We start from the raw sequence: 19,036 nt of genomic DNA on the forward strand, positions 1-19,036 counted from the left end.
ATCTGTTGAAGAAAATAAATGTTGAGAACATAAAGTCACTCATCAGATACTGTTATTATTTGAAGCCTTTTTTTATACAAGTGTTAGAAAACACTGGCTTGAGTCTGGGCACAATGGCTCACACCTATAATCCCAGCACTTTGGGAGGCTGAGACAGGAGGATCACCTGAGGTCAGGGGTTCGAGACCAGCCTGGCCAACATGGTGAAACCTTGTCTCTACTAAAAATACAAAAATTAGTCAGGTGTGGCGGTGGGCACTTGTAATCCCATCTATTTGGGAGTGTGAGGTAGGAGAATTGCTTGAACCCGGGAGGCCAAGGCTGCAGTGAGCCGAGATCACGAGATCACGCCACTGCACTCCAGCCTGGGTGACAAAGTGAGACTCCATCTCAAAAAAAGAAAAAAGAAAAAGAAAACACTGGCTTGGGTTGAGCTACGTACAGAGACTCTAAGACAACACTGAGAGGTTCTGTCACATTACTGTAGAGAGTCTGCCACAAACCAAGAAGTTTTCATGAGAGGAGAGGGACATACGTATATTTCTGTGGCATAATTGCTGAATAGTCGGTAATTATTTGCTGAATTTTGGAATATACAAACGGAGTACAATGGAAACAAATACACCTTCCTTGTCTAACTGTTTAACCAACAGGCCAGCTGAATAATGTACAGCGTCGGGGTTAAGTTGTCAGTTTATTTAGGAAGATAAACTCCTCATTGGGAACAATATAAATAAATAGGCACAACTAAAGAACACAAAATTGAATTAGAAGCTGTAGTACCACTGACACATTGACTTTGTGATAAGAATGGGCACTTAATTAGATATGAGCAGAGCCCAGAACCATATGAAGTGAAAGATCTGAGAATGATGCCAACTCTAAAACAACCTCTCCAATTAAAACATATTACAGATGTACAATAATTAAAGCAGTAAGCTATTGGAGCCACAATAGGCTGATTCGCTGTTGGAACAGCTTCAATAAGAATTTAGTCCAGAATAAAGAGGCATTTCAAATTCACTCACTAGGCAGTAAGTTCCAGGAAGCAGGACTCATGTCTATTTTGTTCAACATTGTTTTCTAGAATTTAGTGCCTATACTGTAGTAGCCACTCAATAATTAAGTGTAGAAGTAATTACATAATTAGTGATGTGGAAAAATGAATGAAAGTTTAAAAATGAGAATACAATAGGCACAGTGCAGTGCCATATATATTCTATAGTTAGTATGTACACACAGGTATATAACAGGCACATAGATTCCCACAAAACATAGATATACCCAGCTATGCTGATTTGGTATCCAGGGATGGTACTTTTATCAGTGATTTTCTTGTTCTATTTGCTTATCCATATGTCCCAACTTATATGGAATGAATGAATGTTAGTTACGTAAAAAATGTAAGAAATAGGCCAGGCATGGTGGCTCATGTCTGTAATCCCAGCACCTTAGGAGGCCGAGGTGGGCAGATCGCTTGAGGTCAGGAGTTTGAGACCAGCCTGGCCAACATGGTGAAACCCCGTCTCTACTAAAAATACTAAAATCAGCCGAGTGACATGGTGTGCGCCTGTAATCCCAGGTACTCGGGAGGCTGAGGCAGGAGAATCACTTGAACCCAGGAGGCAGAGGTTGCAGTGAGCCGAGATCATGCCACTGCGCTCCAGCCTAGGCGACAGAGTGAGATCCTGTCTCAAATATATATATATATATGAAATACATAATATATTGCTACATGTAATAATATAAGAAAAAATATTTTATCAAGTAACATTTGCCAAAAAGCCACTAAGAAAGGCTGTGAAGAAATGTCTTTAGAGAACATTTCATACAAGGGGACTCCACTGTGACATGAATCACATAATCTGAAGGTCCCCTGAAATAAATTAGCCAGCTATTACTGGGCACTTGAGTGAACACTAGTTTTGAGCCAATTATTCCACAATCAAGGCATTTTTAGCTGCACAGAGCTGAGAGCAGTGTGTTAATCAGTCCCATACAGCCTGAAGAGGGCGAGAGTCTAAAGACAGTGCGAGGTTCAATGAGGCCTATCCTCAAAACCAAAAGAGAACAATTGTCTGCTGGGAAGGTAGAAATGGAAAATGAGGCCACAAAAATTAACATGTAAAAAACTATTATTATGATTTTTTATCTTCTGTTTGGGGAAAGCAGAAAGAACATGATAGTGGAAGGAATAATTCCAAAAGAGGATAAGGCCTCCAGTGGGAAGTCAGAACATCTCCACAGTCTACAGGACTGGGCAACATTACGCTGGCAGGTGACAATTGGCAGAAAATCAAAATACTGAGGGATGGAGTAGAACAGGTGAACAGCTCCAGGCAGTGGGTGATGCGCCATTTGACAGAGACAGAAGCAGAGACACGGCAAGAAATGGAATGAGGTGGAGGTGCTGTGGGGTCTTCAGAGGAGCTCCAACCTTGGCAGGGGCTTCATTGCACTTCCTGCAAGGCAGGGGCATCGCCAGCAGAGGACAGCAGCTGAGTGCTAGCAAGGGGGTTGATATGGTTTGGCTCTGTGTCCTCACCCAAATCTCACCTTGAATTGTAATAATCCTCACCTGTCAAGGGCAGGGCCAGGTGGAGTTAATTGAATCATGGTGGCAATTTCTCCCACATGGTTCTCATGATAGTGAGTGATTTCTCACAAGATCTAATGGTTTTATAAGCATCTGGCATTTCCCCTACTGACACTTCTCTTGCCTGCTGCTATGCAAGCTATGGCTTCCACCTTCCGCCATGCCATGATTGTGAGGCCTCCCCAGCCATGTGGAACTGTGAGTGCACTAAACTTCTTTTTCTTTATAAGTTACCCAGTCTTGGGTATGTCTTTATTAGCAGTGTGAGAACAGACTAATAGAGGGGTCCTGAGGAAAGGGGAAGTGAATGGGAGAGAAGAAAAGCATGTCTTATCCCAGGACATTAGATTGTATTGTGCTCAGTTTTAAAACACTGAAAAGTAAGACAATTATAACAGGCTTCTAGAAGTAGGTAAGCCTGGAGGCAAAGCTGGGAGGCCAGGATGGATGTGAATGAAGAAAGGAGGAAAGAGGACATCCCAAGCCAGGAAAGGATCATGCATGGGAACCAAAGCAGGAGACAGGAAGCCTGGCCGTCTGACTAGAGTGAAATTTACACAAGAGTAGATTTGAGCAAGCCTCTGATTCAAGCCCATATCGAGAGAAGTTATCATCTGCCTCTCCATTACAGCAAGTATTCTGGAAAATCCGAATGAACTTTTAATAATAATTTAATAATATTTATTTAATATGTAACAAAAATGCTAATAATTTAATAACAATACAATCTTTTAAACACTTCATAATTTAACAATTGTTAAATTGTCAGTCCTTTTTTCCATAGTGCTAATTTCTTATGCATAGAATATGCACAGACACACTCACAAAATGACACTTGCATACACACAGAGACACATGCACATACACTTAGACATAGACAGACCCAGCACACACAGTCACACAGACACTCATATGCCCGCTCCCAAACAGACATACTCGTAGTGTTATACAGGCATACAATGCATGCTTTCATACACAGGCTCACTGATACTGATACCCTCACGTGCACAGACACACACACACACACACACACACACACACTCACACCCTCACAACAAAATGTAAGACAGGTTCCCTCCTTACCTGGGCTTCAAGTATGTTAACCTTTTCTCTGAGATTTTCAATTCTTTTGTCTTGTTCTTTTAAATTATTTTTTAATCCTTCCATCTAAGAATTAGAAAACACAATAGGAAAAACCTTGTCAGACCACAGGAAATAGTTACTTAAGTCAGAAATTGTATGGATTTCTGAGGTCAAAAGATGTTCATCAAATTAAAAAAAAAATTAAATCCCAAAGCATTAGCAGACTCAGCAGGCAACAGAAAATAGCAGGCCAAACTGACACCTGGGGCTGAAAGCCCTCAGCTGGTGCCGTGATTCACTTTAATCTTTGGATAACCTGTTTAAACCAAGTTCAGCAGGAGTGCGTCCTGTGAAAGCAGCACTGGCCGCCCTTCTGCATCTCAGCAACTTAATGTTTTCATCCTGCAGATGCAGCTGCTGGTGGACAGGATGCGAGACCACTGCCTGGTGTGCAGAGGGTCCCTGCAGTAGAGATTTGTCAAGCAGCAGCATAATAAGGTGAGCCTGCTTTGCCAAGAGGCAATGTGGAATTGGGAGGTGGGGTGATGAGATGCAAAGCAGTGTAAGAAGAGAGGGGACACAAGGATTCTAAGACCAACTTTGGCACCACTAGCTGTCATTAAACTGCTCTATAAAAAGAGGGTGTGGGATGCCCCCAAAGTCCCTCCTGGCTCTCAAATTCCACTACTCAATTCTCTGGCCTTTTAGTGATGTCATAGCCAAGCAAGCACAAATGCTATATCTATGTGAGGAAGGCTCTGGAGTATTTGGGAGGACTTGTATTTGGCAGTAAAGTACCTGAATAGAAGTCTGATTTTAAATTTTAAAACAGAACCCCAAAACCAGATCAATGCATATCTTGAAGTAGATTTTAAATACACACTCCGCCATCTAGCTGGCTGTTACCACAATCGCCTCGACTTTGCCACCTATCAGGCTGCTCCCAGAGAAGAAGGGCCAGGCTACACCCCTATCCTAAATCATGTCCTAAATAAATTATGAGGTTATGAAAACAGATCATTTCATACTCAAGGAAGGGCTGAATCTCCTGATCTACAAAATTGTCTAAAGACCAGTGTACATTATTTGGCGCAGAAGACTTTTAGAAAATCACTGAAACATCTAAAAAACAGTTATACATAACTTTCCAAGCTATCTTCATCGAGAGCATTACAGGTGTTTTTGTTACAAACAAGAGAGGGCATTGAAAACAGAGACATATTGCATGAGAAACAAAAAAGGATATGTCAGTAGGGAGAGAAATCTCATTGCTTCAAAAGTCCAGTCAAGCCACTCGTATTTGGGCTCCACGCTGTAAACATACTGTCTACCAGATAAATACACTTGATTAATCTGACCTCCTGGATGACACTGCGCAGGTTCTGATGTTGGGAGTGAATCACAAACTGCAGATGAGAGATCTGCTCCTGGAGAATGGAAATCTCCCTCTGAAGATCCTGGCAACTGGGAATGCAAAGGGAAAAAGACCAAGAGAAAATGATTGGCTCACACGTTCCATAGCTCGTCCTTACTGCTAGCCCTCCTACACACTCTACTGCTACTGGGGATCAGTTGGGTAAGACCCCGGGGCCCCATTATGCCACATAGGACACACTGAAGATAAATAGCTATGAAGCGGGCTCTAATTTGATTGGATTTAACTTGAATGAGAATATCAATTCCCATCAAAATCTCCATTCTGGCCATCTGTGACTCCTCTAGCAGGTAGTGGAATCAAGTTATATTCAGTACGATAAAGCACTTATACGCTAAATTGCCTTGCCTAAGCACCCACAGACCTGGCACCCATCAAACTTCACAGACAATTGCATGCCAATAGCAGAGTCAGAACATGGGAGCAGAAATGGAGATTTTATCTATTAATATATTTATAAGAAACCAATTTCTAATGATTCGGGCTTAGTATATGTTGTGGATTGTCTGTGTTTGTCTTTTTTTATTTTTTATTTTTTGGATTCCTACTTTTGGTAATTCTACTATCATTCCATAGGGAAACGGGGGGAAAAAAGGAGAAGAAAGGAAGAAATTTAATTCCAGCAAATATTTTTGAGTCCACATCCATCATTATGGAAAAAAAAGTCAATTTTGAATTTAGATTATTTATACTTTCCCAAAGCTTCATTCAGGTAACTGGAATTGGTTGTACTGTTTTGGCTGTTTCTCTTCTTGCTACTGTTATTAGAGTTATGAAGCCACATGCACTGTGGCAACACCATCAAGCTTAGAAGCATTGTGACCTCGGAGAAGTCACTTGGCCTTTGCTCTTATCCAATGTCATCCCAATTCTGTTTCTTTCTTTTTTCTTTTTTTTTTTTTTTTTGTTGTTGTTGGTTTGTTTTTTTTCAGACGGAGTCTTACTCTGTCGCCCAGGCTGGAGTGTAGTGAGGCGATCTTGGCTCACCGCAACCACCACTTCTGGGCTCAAGAAATTCTTGCAGCTGGGATTACAAGCATGCACCACCACACCTGGCTAATTTTTGTATTTTTAGTAGAGATGGAGTTTCACCATGTTGGCGAGGCTGGTCTTGAGCTCCTGACCTCAGCTGATCCACCCACCTCAGCCTCTATGTGTATCACAAAGATAGCAGAAATTCATAAAATACTATATAGCATGTTCTAATTAGAAAAAAAGAGTTATTAGTTTTCATTTTGTTTCATATAATGGACTAAAACATTGTTTCAGAGAAATGCACATCTAAACCACTATGAGATACCATCTCGCAGCAGTCATAATGGCTATTATTAAAAAGTAAAAAAATAACAGATGTTGGCAAGGATGCAGAGAAAAGGGAATGCTTATACACTGTTGGTGGGAATGTAAATTAGTTCAGCCACTTTGGAAAGCAGTTTGGACATTTCTTAAAAGGGTAAAAATAGAACTACCATTCAACCCAACAATCCCATTACTGGGTATATACCCAAAGGAAAACCGATCATTCTACCAAAAAGACATGTGTACTCTTATGTCCATCACAGCAGTATTCACGACAGCAAAGACATAGAAACAACCTAGGTGCCTATCAACAGTGGATTCAATACAGAAAATGTGTTATATATACACCATGGAATACTATGCAGCCATAAAAAGGAATGAAATTGTGCCTTTTGCAGCAACGTGGATGCAACTGAAGGTCATCATCCTAAGTGAATTAAGGCATAAAAATAAAATCAAATACTGCACAATTCCACTTATAAGTGGGAGCTAAACACTGGGCAAACACAAACGTAAAGAAGGAAACAATAGACGCTGCGGACTATTAGAGGGGGAAAGAATGGAGGGGAAAGGGTTAAAAAACTACCTGAGTGCTATGCTGGCTACCTAGGTGACAGATTCAATAGTAGCCCAAACCTCAGCATCAGGCAATATACCCACGTAACAAACCTGCACATGTACTCCCACAGGTAAAATAAAAGTTGAAATTAAAACAAAAAATCAGAAGCTTTATTTTAATTGGTCCAATAGAGTCCTGGAAAGAAAACAAAAGAAGTTTACAATTTACAATTACAAAAGAAATTATTGTAATCTTCCAGGACTCTAGAAAGAGACAGGAGGGGAAGATAGGAGAATGTTTGGGAGTACAGCCACAAGAAATCTACAGGGAACAGGACGCCTACAACATTGGTGAGGGGAGTGAAGCAAATGAGGGGCCTGGGAGAAGGATGCAGAGAACAGAAAGAGAAGACACAAAATGACGGGGGAACAAGAACACGCGTCAAGCGTGCTACTCTGTTTTAGATGATAATCGGAAACATGTCTGATTATCATACCTACACAACGAAATCTCACTGTGAAAGTCCATTTCCCTCCTCTTGATTAACACTACAAGCAACTATGAAACTAAGAAAAGCTATGAAAGAAATGTAAACGGTCAATGCAGGCTGAAGGAAGATCACTAACTAGTTCAGCTGTGCCAATATTTTATCTGCTTTTTATAACATGATCATTTAAAGGACCCCATACCTGGCAGAAAGCCTCACTTTGATCTTTTTCTCTTAGAGAGGGGCAGTAGGGAATCCGAACCAAGTAAATAAACAAGCAGTCCCCTTGTTTTTTTTTCCATGGTCCACGGCAGGAAGTGTTTGAAAAGAAATAAGCTGGATGCCTGATTCAGATGAAAACGCTTTGTGCCCATGTAGTTTGAACTGACAATAGCAGCAATACTGAGCCCTCAGTATTTCCAAAATTCAAGTTCAGAGAATGGCTGCATCAGCACACCAGCCTGTATTCACATTAGATTTCAGTTGTCCCTAGACTTGAGGTTCAGAGGCTTCTTGAGGCACGGGAGACTGAGGAAATTTCAGCACCCCCAGCGGGTAAGGTGCCACACCCTAAGGATGTTGCGGGGAGATGGAAGAGCCTTCCAAGGTGAGACCAGACTTTGGATGTTGGCAAACATTCTGAACAAACAGTGAGAAGGCTTACCGCCCACAGAGAATCTTCAGGGGCAGGATGTCTTCAGAAGTCCGGGGAGATTGGGAGTGTGCGAGAGGCAGGACTGAGAAATCTGCAGATGTTGCTCAGAACCCTTGGAGGGTAGAATTGCTGCGAACATGCAGAGGATGGGGTAACTAAGGAGCCTCAGAAGAAAACCTCAGTTACTAGGAAAAGATGACTGGAGGATATAAAGATCAAAACAGGCCAGGCATGGTGGCTCACGTCTGTAATTCAAGCAATCTGGGAGGCCAAGGCGGGTAGATCACTTGAAACCAGGAGTTCAAGACCAGCCTGGCCAACATGGCAAAATCCATCTCTATTAAAAATGCAAAAATTATGCTGGGTGTGGTGGCTCACACCTGTAATCCCAGCACTATGGGAGGCCAAGGCGAGTGGATCACTTGAGGTCAGGAGTTCGAGATCAGCCTGGCCAACATGGTGAGACCCTGTCACTACTAAAAATACAAAAATTAGCCGGGCATGGTGGCATGCGCCTGTAATCCCAGCTACTTGGGAGACTGAGGTACAAGAATCGCTTGAACCCAGGAGGTGGAGGTTGCAGTGAGGCGAGATCGTGCCACTGCAATCCAGCCTGGGTGACAGAGCAAGACTCCGTCTCAAAAAAAAAAAAAAAAAAAAAAAAAAGATCAAAACACAGAGGGCAAACAGAAATTGGGTCCATAGCTGGTGCTAAAATTCAAAATTGCTCCAGCAAGGAAAGTAAAAGAAGAAAAGATAAAAATAACAGAAAGAGCAGCTATGACCCACTTAATGGTCAGACTCAGGACTTTCCCAGGAAGTAATGAGAAAGAGCTTAAGACGCCTCGCAGAGGCAAGCTGGCTTTGAATATGCACGAAATATAAAAATACTGTAAGCTGTTAAAGGTGAGTAAGGTGAGAATTTAAAATGGTTCTTTTTGTGTCCCATGACCCAGAACCTTGGAACCAATGGGAAAAAAAGATGGCTTTAGGCACAGAGAACATAGGTTGTTATTTTTCTATCAAAAATCCCAAGCTCAGAAAAATTTCCCATGTACTCCTTGAAGGTATTACCATAGCGTTCACTGTAAGTAAAAAAAAAAAAAAAATTGAAATTGGCCTCAAAATAGAAGAAAACTATTTCTAGAAGCACTCTTGAAAACACATGGCCTTGGGGCTTCACTTGTCTCCATTAACACACTAAAACAGTGACTAAAGGCCATTGCAGAAAATCTCTATTAGGACTGTCCAATAAATATGAAGCCTAGTCATCCATTTAAGACCTTTAAATGTAAAAATATATCTAAGTAAGCTGCCACTTGATCTTCTTTTGAGCTTTGTTATTTATCTTTCTGTTAAAGCACTCAGTCTTTTTTTTTTTTTAAACAAAGTCTCACTCTGTCACCCAGCCTGAAGTGCAATGATGCAATCTCGGCTCACTGCAACCTCCAGCTCCTGGGTATAAGTGATTCTCCTGCCTTAGCCTCTTGAGTAGCTGGGAATTACAGGCACCCATCACTATGCCCGGCTAATTTTTCTATTTTTAGTGGAGACGGGGTTTCACCATGTTGGCCAGGCTGACCTCAAGTGATCTGCCCACCTCAGCCTCCCAAAGTGCTGGGATTACAGGCATCAACCACTGCACCTAGCCCAATCTTAATAAAGAGGTACACAAGCAAAACTGGAGGAAGAAAACATAAGGAAGGGTCAAGCCTAAAAAAAGGAGGCAAATGTCTGTATCTGGGATTCATGCTCTGCCTTCCAATGTCTCAACATAATTTTTGATCATGTTTTCCTCTACAATGCAACTGAATAAAAATATAAAGCAAATGTTGAAATTAAAGCAGAATTGAAAAGCTTTGGCTTCTAAGAAAATGTAGAATACATGCTTTTCCCCATTGTTCCTGCTAAATACAACTAAAAGCCCTGGATATTGTATATGAAAAAAAAAACACAAGAAGACTCTGAACAGCGGAGAGAAGAAGGCAGACTGGCTCTGGAACCTGGGATCCAAGAAATGACACAATGGTGAATCCTCTGGGGTTTCTTTTTATCTCACACATCCCAGACTTGGAGCTGGAAAAAAACAGCAGCCTGGAATGCCAATGGGGGCAAGCAGAAAAAGCCCCAACAAAAAGAGAAGAGAATCTCTGCCCTACCCTTTTGAAGGAGGGAATTGAGGATTCTCTCTCAATTCATCACTGAAGGAGGGGGAAGAGACAACTATTTCTGGTTCACTTCCTGTTAGATTCCTTAGCATTCAAGAAAGGAAGTCAATCCTATCTTTAACTGCAGAAATGTGAAAAGAAATTACTTTGCCTCTAATTAGCAACATGGGATGATCATAGAAGAAGCACTTGACAGGAAGCCCACCCTCAATTTCTCTACTCCCCAACGTCTCCCAAAGGGTTGGTGAAAAGAAACTGAGTTCATGGAGAACTTCTCTCCCTCCACTCCTCACAATACTCGACAATCTATCTTTGGGTCAACTTATACCATAGCGGGTAGCATTATTGGACTTTCTCACCGTGCCCTCTGTTCCCCCCTGTTCCAATGGCTTTTATTGAATTGTGTTGGCATCATGCTATTCTGTTTAGATGATGTTCTGAGGTAAGCCTTTGTGTTTATTACAAGGGGTAAGCTGAAAACATTATTCAGGGTTCTTTTTATGACCATACCCTGGGCAATTTTCTTTCTGGCTTTATAGATAGATAAGAAATAACTGAATGATCGCAAACACCTGATTGGTTTTAATCATGTGGAATTGTGACTCAGAAAACTAATCATCATTTCCTGTTTGGGTTGGCTGCTGGAAAATTTGAAACTGAGTCAGTGATCCCCTGTGAGCAAGTCTGTAGCATCCATGGGCCTAATTTTGTAAATGTAACCTTATGGTATACCTATTCTTATATCTCCTTGTCCTCATCATCTAATTTTTTTCTAATTTAAGTAATCATATTATATTTTACATAGTTTTTATAAATAACCTTAGATTTTCTTAAAAATTTCACAAAGGGCATGAATAGCCTGAGCATGGCCATATTTACACAACTCAAGAATATAACATGTTTAAATCTTTATAAAGTACATTTCTTATCAAGGATTCATGTAGTAAGATGTTGATGAGAATGAAAATTCCAGAAGAAGCCAAAAGAACTAGGTGCTGAGACAAAGGAAATAAAAGTAGCAACGAAAGCCATGTTGCAGGCTCTAAGAGGCTACTTCTGGGTACACTACAGATTATAGAGGCATTGGAAATGTGAATAGCCCTACATAGAAATCCCACAGGATACAGAAGATAGTGAGATTAGTGGCATCGTAGAGCTTCTCTGAAGCTATAAAAGAATCTTACTACCATCTGTGGGGACTCATACTGCCTTCTGTTTAGGATCCAATGTTTCTCTGGACTTCCATGAGTGTAAACATCACTGACTATGGGCCCCCAGTGGAATAAAGGATAACTAGGGACCACAACCACAAGAAGAGAAGAGGTCAGATCCTTACCATTCCCAGGCCAGACTAAGGGAAAGAATCAGCTTGGATGTAGGTGTAGCCCTGTTTGCATTTCAACAAAATTCATGAATGTGTCTTACTATTTTCTATAAAATTCTTCTTTATTATTATTTTCATTGGTGGTACCAAAGGGGTGCCTTGAGAGAACACTCCCACCCCAAACTACTGCAGATAAATGTACAATTTAAGTGGCAACCATATGCTTTGACATGCAACCTCAGCTTCAAGGTCTTTCCTCCTCTAAGGAGTTTCCATTCCTAAGCAGCATCTATGTAAATACAGAGGGGCCAACACTGTTTATTTTTACAGCTCCCTGTATTAGTCTGTTCTCATGCTGCTATGAAAACATACCCGAGACTGGGTAATTTATAAAGGAAAGAGGTTTAGTTGATTCACAGTTCTGCAGGGCTGGGGAGGCCTCAGGAAACTTACAGTCATGTTGGAAGGGCAAGTAAACATGTCCTTCTTCACATGGCGGGCCAAAACCATGCAGCAAGGAGAAGTGCAAAGCAAAAGGAGGAAAAGCCCCTTATAAAACCATCAGAACTTGTGAGAACTCATGAGAACAGCAGCATTGGGCTAACCGCCCCCATGGTTCAATTACCTCCCACCAGGTTTCTCCCATGACATGTAGGGATTATGGGAACTACAATTCAAGATTCTCATCTTTTCGGGTGGGGACACAGCCAAACCATATCAATCCCAAATATGTTTCCCCAAAAGATAACTCTTAAAAAGGCCTGCATATTTGTTCGTGATGTGGCAGGGCAGATGGAAAAGTTGGAAAATGGCTTTTTGCTAGTCGTCACTCAGAGGAATGAAGAACCCAGTTTAAGAGATCTTCAGAGGTTTCTAGAAATAAAAGAAAGATGGTCAAAATCTTGTATAGCAGAATGAGCTAATGCTTTGCTATGTATGAGAATGTAGGAGCAAAATCTCCGAGCTCTATAATTTCTGAGAGATTGAGCAATCTTGGACAACTCAATTAGAACTTCATCTCTTTCCCAGAAAGGTGAATGAAAGGAATAAAATAAAGAAGTTACCTGAGGTTATTCTGAAAACTGCAAAGCATTTTACCTGTGTCAATTACCAGTAATGGTAATAGAAATATGGAGTCAACCTTATTTTTAAGAAGACAAATCTTTTTGACTTTTCTGTCTCTTTTTTATGACCATATCTATCTAATCTTAACCTAACAGAAACTGTCTTTTTTGTAGTAGCTTAATCAAGTCTCTGTTATTTCAACCAAAAGAGTCTGAGTCATACTGATTTCATTTTCTTGTTACTTCACAAACTGAATGCCTCTACATAAAGCTCAGACAAAGTAATAAGTCATCACAAATATGTATGATACCTACAATCTGTAAAAATTGCATAAGCCTGGATGTTGGAAAAACCTTTCTAGAAACACCAAACATCCATTTTTCCCAAGAAATTTCTAAAACTTCCTTAGGAGCTTTTAAAGAATTATTTATAACAACTGCTTATATAGAATAGAAGAGAAAGAATAGATCAGGTTGGTTTTTAAAACAGGTATATTGTTGGCTCAAAGACAGACAATAGCCCTATCACCAATTTTTTTTAAAACACATTTTTTAAAGGAAAAAAAAAATCAAGCTTGGAAGGCCTGAACTTTTAATGGAAGATGCGTACAAATCAGTAGTTCTGCTACCTGGAAAAGCTCTGCCTATTTAAGAAAAAATATTAACTGAAGATGTACTTAGAATTAAGTTATGAATATCCATATGTAATTCCAAGATCTAAGGATACTTTCTACAGTATTTCCTTCAATCTCTACAGAAATGTTCAGTGTTATAAAACTATCTTAGAAGTCCACTCTCTTGGGCTATATGTTTGTTACAGGGAAGAAGATAGGAAAATTAATAACATATTGGTATCCTAGTATGTTTCAAATGTGTGTGTGTAATTGCCAGGATCAGCCCATTTCTGGGCTTTGGCATATGTGGTCCAAAATGCAGGATTACAAGCCAGGCAGAAGGTACAACATATGAGGACAGGTGGGAAGAAAGATAAAAAAGGAAAGGAAGCAGCAGGGAGCCTGTAGGGGGGAAATCGAAAGACTGAGAAAGAGGGATGTCTGAGCACACATCATTGAATAAATGACAACAATTCTGTCCATAATGGTGCCTGATACCCTAGTGAACAACAGTTCTAGGATGACAAACTAAGATCTTGAAATCGATTTGACTTTGAACAATATTATATAATTATATCGGAACATACAATGACTGTGTTGGACTTAGAATTTTTTAAAAATAAAGAAAAATCTCATAAAATGTCTTATGATATGATTTATTACATGATAATACAGAGACTTTTTCTAATAGCGGCTGAGTAGCACAGCGATTATGGTGATATCCACAAACCCATCCCCAGCATACTGAGGACTGTGACTGCTTGTGAACTTTGAGTATTTATAAGTAAGTCCAAAGGACTAAGGATATTGTCCATAGCATTTCCTTCACCTTACAGAATTAAGGAGTATCAGGAAACTGTCTTAGAATTCTGCTTGTGGGCTGGCCAGTGTAATATCTGCTGTAGAAGTGACTCATTAATAAACACAGAAGCATCAGGGAATAAAGATCTCTCAAGCGTCCTCCTTAGCACAAATGGTAAACCAGGAGGTGCCAGGCTCACTCACTCATTCACTCTTTAGAAGGACTAACCTTCCTGCAGGGTTCCCTGCACCCCCAGTGAACTCTGCCCCCGGCTCCCAACTGCCCTGTGATTCCTCTGAGTTTGAGGAAGGGGAGGCACATAACTACATGACTGTTAATCCCAAGAATTCAACCTTCCTCCTGCACTGTCAGTCATCCTATTTCTTTGGGGGACAGAAGGTCTTCTGTTCCCTGGCTGGCATACCAGTGGACAGGAAAGAAATCAGGAACTGCCTTTACTTAACAGGTAGCTTCACAAACCTTTTTCCATATGTAGCACTGGATTTGAGTTGCAGTAGCTTGTTTTCCAAAGACAGTTTTCTTTCTAGTAGTGTTCTCTTTTCCTAGGAGAAAATAAGATACAAATTTTGCTAAACTGCATGTGTATGTTTGGTAAGGCCTTCCTCTTGTCATACTATAACTATGGCTTGAGCTAAAGAGTTAATTTCACATGTGCTGTTACTCCTCATCTTCAAGGAAACCTGGCCAAGTATTCTCCTGTGTGCTTTGCACATAGTTCAACTATAGGCCAAAAATAGTTGTCTTCACTCTCTCACCTGCCTGGAGGACTTCTTCTGCTCCTCCTCCAGGGCATTGCCCATAGCCTGTTCAGCTCAACCTCTCCCACTAATCTCTCCCCATCCTACCACATGTAAACATCCTGCCCATCTCTCGCTAGACCCTGGCTCTCCCACCCTTACACCTGTTTCGCCTACATTAGACTGACTTGTTGGTATCCAAGGACACTAGATACCTCTACATACTACTTGGCATCTGTCAGAAGGTAGTAAAGCAATAAACATGTTTTTGATGAAGGATCAAGGCCACAAAGGATACAACTGCTTTCCAATTAGGATACAGGAGAAACTGAGATTGCAATTTTATGATGCTAGGAAAGAATATCTTTTAAAAAGATGCCTTAATTTGATTATTAAGCCAAAGCTTTTCCATCCAAAAGGAAAACAGACAAGACCATGAAAAACGAAGCTGAGATGACTGTGTTCATTTTATATTTGATGGCACTCAGCTGAAAAAAAGGAATTTGGTGCTTTGGCCTGATGGTTTAGGTTGCCAAGTTGGAAAGAATCAAGGGAGATTGAAAAAAGGCAGGAATTGGTATTGGCAACATGGATGGAATTGACTGGAAGAGGCGTGCCGAAACCATAATGCTGTTTAAAATTACTTCCCGCTGCAGCATCTGAGTGAGTGGTACACAGCAAGGCAGTGCTGTATAGAAGAAACATCACAAAGACTGTACATAGGGACTTACCTGGTTTCTAAATTTTGGCCGAGGTTTTAAACTCTCTGGGCCTTACCAATGTTAAGAAAAATTAACCCAAACTTGGAAATAAAAACAATATACAGCATGCAGTTTTAATATCATATTGGGTCATCATTTAATCATCTGACCCAAGATTTATTTAATTCTCTCAGAGAATTTCCCTGTGTTCGCTTTTATTATTTATTATTTCATTAGAGCCCTGAGTCTGTGAAGTTGCATGTAAATTTGTAGATTTCTGTCCGGTAGAAGACATAATCCCAAAGGTTATGATTTAATTGCCTTAAAGAATATTAACCATTTTTTAAAAATTTAATCTAGTACTCCTATACTATTTTTCACTTTTTCTCCAAAATGCCTATAAATGGCTAGTTTCTGAAAATATTTTATTTAAACCAGCTTTCTCATCTTACTGTTTCCCTCATTAATTAATGAGTTAGTTACAACATTTGACTTGTATTCATTCTATATTCATTTGACTTATATTTGTATCTTCTGAGCATTCCTAAAATGGGGATAATATTACCTATATTGAAATGTTGGGATAATAGAGATAATATATGTAAAAGGCATACAGGCTTCCTGGCACATATTTGGACCTCAATATATAATAATTTGAAGGCACTAATTACTTCAAATCTTAATGTGTTCTGTTATGTTTTAAAATTAGCTTTTTCAAATTTTTCTTATAGTATTCTTGCCAGATAGAAATTGTCCTGGAGTTTCCCTAGCTGTGTTCAAATTATTTCTGAAGGATCACAGATACTCACTCCCTTCCTTCCTTCCTTCCTTCCTTCCCTTCCCTTCCCCTCCCTCCCTCCCTCCCTCCCTCCCTCCCTTCCTTCCTTCCTTCCTTCCCTCCCTCCCTCCCTCCCTCCCTCTCTCTCTCTCTCTCTCTCTCTTTCTTTCCTTCTTTTTTATACAGAGTTTTGCTCTTGGTGCCCAGGCTGGAGTGCAATGGTGCGATCCTGGCTCACTGCAACCTCCGCCTCCCAGGTTCAAGCGATTCTCCTGCCTCAGCCTCCCGAGTAGCTGGGATTACAGGCATGTACCACCACGCCCGGCTAATTTTGTATTTTTAGTAGAGACGGGGTTTCTCCATGTTGGTCAGGCTGGTCTCGAACTCCTGACCTCAGGTGATCCACCCGCCTTGGCCTCCCAAAGTGCTGGGATTACAGGTGTAAGCCACTGCGCCCGGCCCACAGATACATCTTACAAGCGTATGATAAGGCTTGGATTGTCAAAAAAAACACACCACAGATAATGTATTTTGAATTTGTAGGGTGAGGGAAAATAGTGCCTAACAAATGTTAAATAGACTTACTCTTGGTTAATGGATTTTCATAAACAGGGGTCAAGGGGACCAGACAACCGGACAAGTAAATGCTCTCCCTTGGCCAGGCTCTGCCATCTAGCTTGGGTTCTTTTTGCCTCCTCTTTGACAATACAGAAAATCTCACCATACCAGATAGCGCTTCTCAGGCAATGTCTTCAGGAAAGGGAAAGGGAGTTCACAGCACCACACAGTGGGCAACCCCACTATTCCCAGAGCCATACCTCCAGACAGCTCCAGGTTTCCCTCACCAGGCTGATCGGAGAGGGCACCAATTTCAATCATTGCCAAATGCTAACATCTAAATGTTTTGGAACCAAGTCTATCATTTTTGTCCAGCATTAGAGAAGACGGGGGCATAATGGAAAGGGTTGTGATCTAGAAAGTGGAGGATTGTGGAATAGTTTCTGGTTCATGCTGTCCTCATTTATAAAATGATGATGAGGAACTAGGTGGTCTCAAAAGTGCCTTTGAGCTCTAAAATTGCAATGGAGCTAAATCAATGACACTAGAAAACAAATATGATGTAACAGAATTGCACTGCTAGCAAACGGAACATATGCCATATTAAAATGCTCTTATTGGGCATTTTTGCTAGCTTATCACTGTGCTTATGGAATTCATTCTCACTGCATTCCTGATTAAAGTGGGACAGACGGTGAAGGTTTTAAGTAATATGTTCATTACCAGACCTCATACTACTAATGGCTATTTACTGGAGCGGTGGATTGTTCAAGTGAGTAGCAAGTAAATTTTTCTCCAGGGGGCACCTACGACCAGGCCAATATTTATCAACCTTTGTGAGGATGTTTGTTTTTAAGTTTTACTTTCTTTTTGAACTTGTGTCTTTTTCCTATTAATACAAAAGGCCCAGTACACCCTCCCCTTACTCTGGCTTGCGCTCCCCACCTGAGACACCCTTCCTCACAGCCTGTCTTCTCAGTCTCTCTTTAAACCAAGAAGTTGCCAAACTTCATTCCTTATAGTTTTATTTATTTGCTTGTTTCACAAATATAAAATATTTTTAAACCAATTTGGTTTTTTTTTTTTTTGAGACAGAGTCCTGCTGTATCACCCAGGCTGAAGTGCAGTGGCGTCATCTCGGCTCACTGCAGCCTCCACCTCCCAGGTTCAAGTGATTCTCATGCCTCAGCCTCCAGAGTAGCTGGGACTACAAGCACATGCTACCATGCCCAGCTAATTTTTGAATTTTTTTTTTTAGGAGAGACAGGGTTTCACCATATTGGCCAGGCTCGTCTTGAACTCCTGGCCTCAAGCGATCCTCCTGCCTCAGCCTCCCAAAATGCTGGAATTACAGGCGTGAGCCACCACACCTGGCCTAAATCATTTTTTATTTTAAATAAAACTGCACATTTCCCCTCCACATCATCCACACTTACCTCCACCCTCCAGAGATTCCAGTAGGCTTGCCCTCCAGAAAGTCACTGAACTATTCTGGAAGGTTGCTGCATGGCCTTACTAAGCCATGTGCATCCTGTCTGCTTCCTTTGTCCAAGATCTCCTGGAGACAGCCCACTGTTGCGAGTTATTATCAGGGCAGGAGATAGGCCATCACTTCCCAAGAATGTCCTGCCAGGATCTGAGCCACTGAACCTTATTCTGGGGCATGCTCCTCTGCCTTTGACTGGGCTTTCAGCCTCCCTAAAGGACTCATAGAGGAATTAAGAAAGGGAGATCTGGGAAGTTCCTTGAGCCTCACACAATCCAGATATACTACATTGTCATCTCCACAAAAAGAGACTGTCTGGTTCATTCACAAATATATATTCAGCCCCTAGTTCTATGCTACACATGGTGGTGTTCAAATATTTGTTTAGTAAACAGTCAAGTAAATATACCCCAGAACTCTGAGATGAACTAACATCTAGTACACATTTCTTGGGATTACTAGGAAATAGAAATTATCTTCCACTGTTCTTTCTTTTTTTTGACACGGAGTCTCGCTATGTCACCAGGCTGGAGTGCTGTGGTGCAATCTCGGTTCACTGCAACCTCCGCCTCCTGGGTTCAAGCAATTCTCCTGCCTCAGCCTCCCAAGTAGCTGGGACTAAAGGTGCGTGCCACCATGCCCAGCTAATTTTTGTATTTTTAGTAGAGA

The 19,036-nt window shown here is 41.0% G+C and overlaps 1 protein-coding gene across 21 annotated transcripts in view; it reads right to left on the reverse strand.

Annotated features, from left to right (window-relative positions):
* CCDC68 (coiled-coil domain containing 68) overlaps positions 1–19,036 on the reverse strand; it is a 57,953-nt gene that overhangs the window by 12,725 nt on the left and 26,192 nt on the right. For 17 of the 21 annotated variants that reach the window (XM_011526199.3, XM_047437870.1, XM_047437867.1 and 14 more), the window contains 3 exons: positions 14,567–14,649; positions 5,038–5,143; positions 3,680–3,763 (listed from right to left, as the gene is read on the reverse strand). In XM_011526199.3, coding sequence (XP_011524501.1) covers positions 3,680–3,763; positions 5,038–5,143; positions 14,567–14,649 — 273 coding nt within the window. Of the gene's footprint in view, positions 1–3,679; positions 3,764–5,037; positions 5,144–11,709; positions 12,480–14,566; positions 14,650–19,036 lie in introns of those variants that run through there. The other 4 variants (XM_047437873.1, XM_011526204.4, XM_047437874.1 and 1 more) reach the window with 1 other exon arrangement.

The sequence above is a fragment of the Homo sapiens genome, chromosome 18, assembly GCF_000001405.40.
Source record: "Homo sapiens chromosome 18, GRCh38.p14 Primary Assembly".
Classification (NCBI taxonomy): domain Eukaryota; kingdom Metazoa; phylum Chordata; class Mammalia; order Primates; family Hominidae; genus Homo; species Homo sapiens.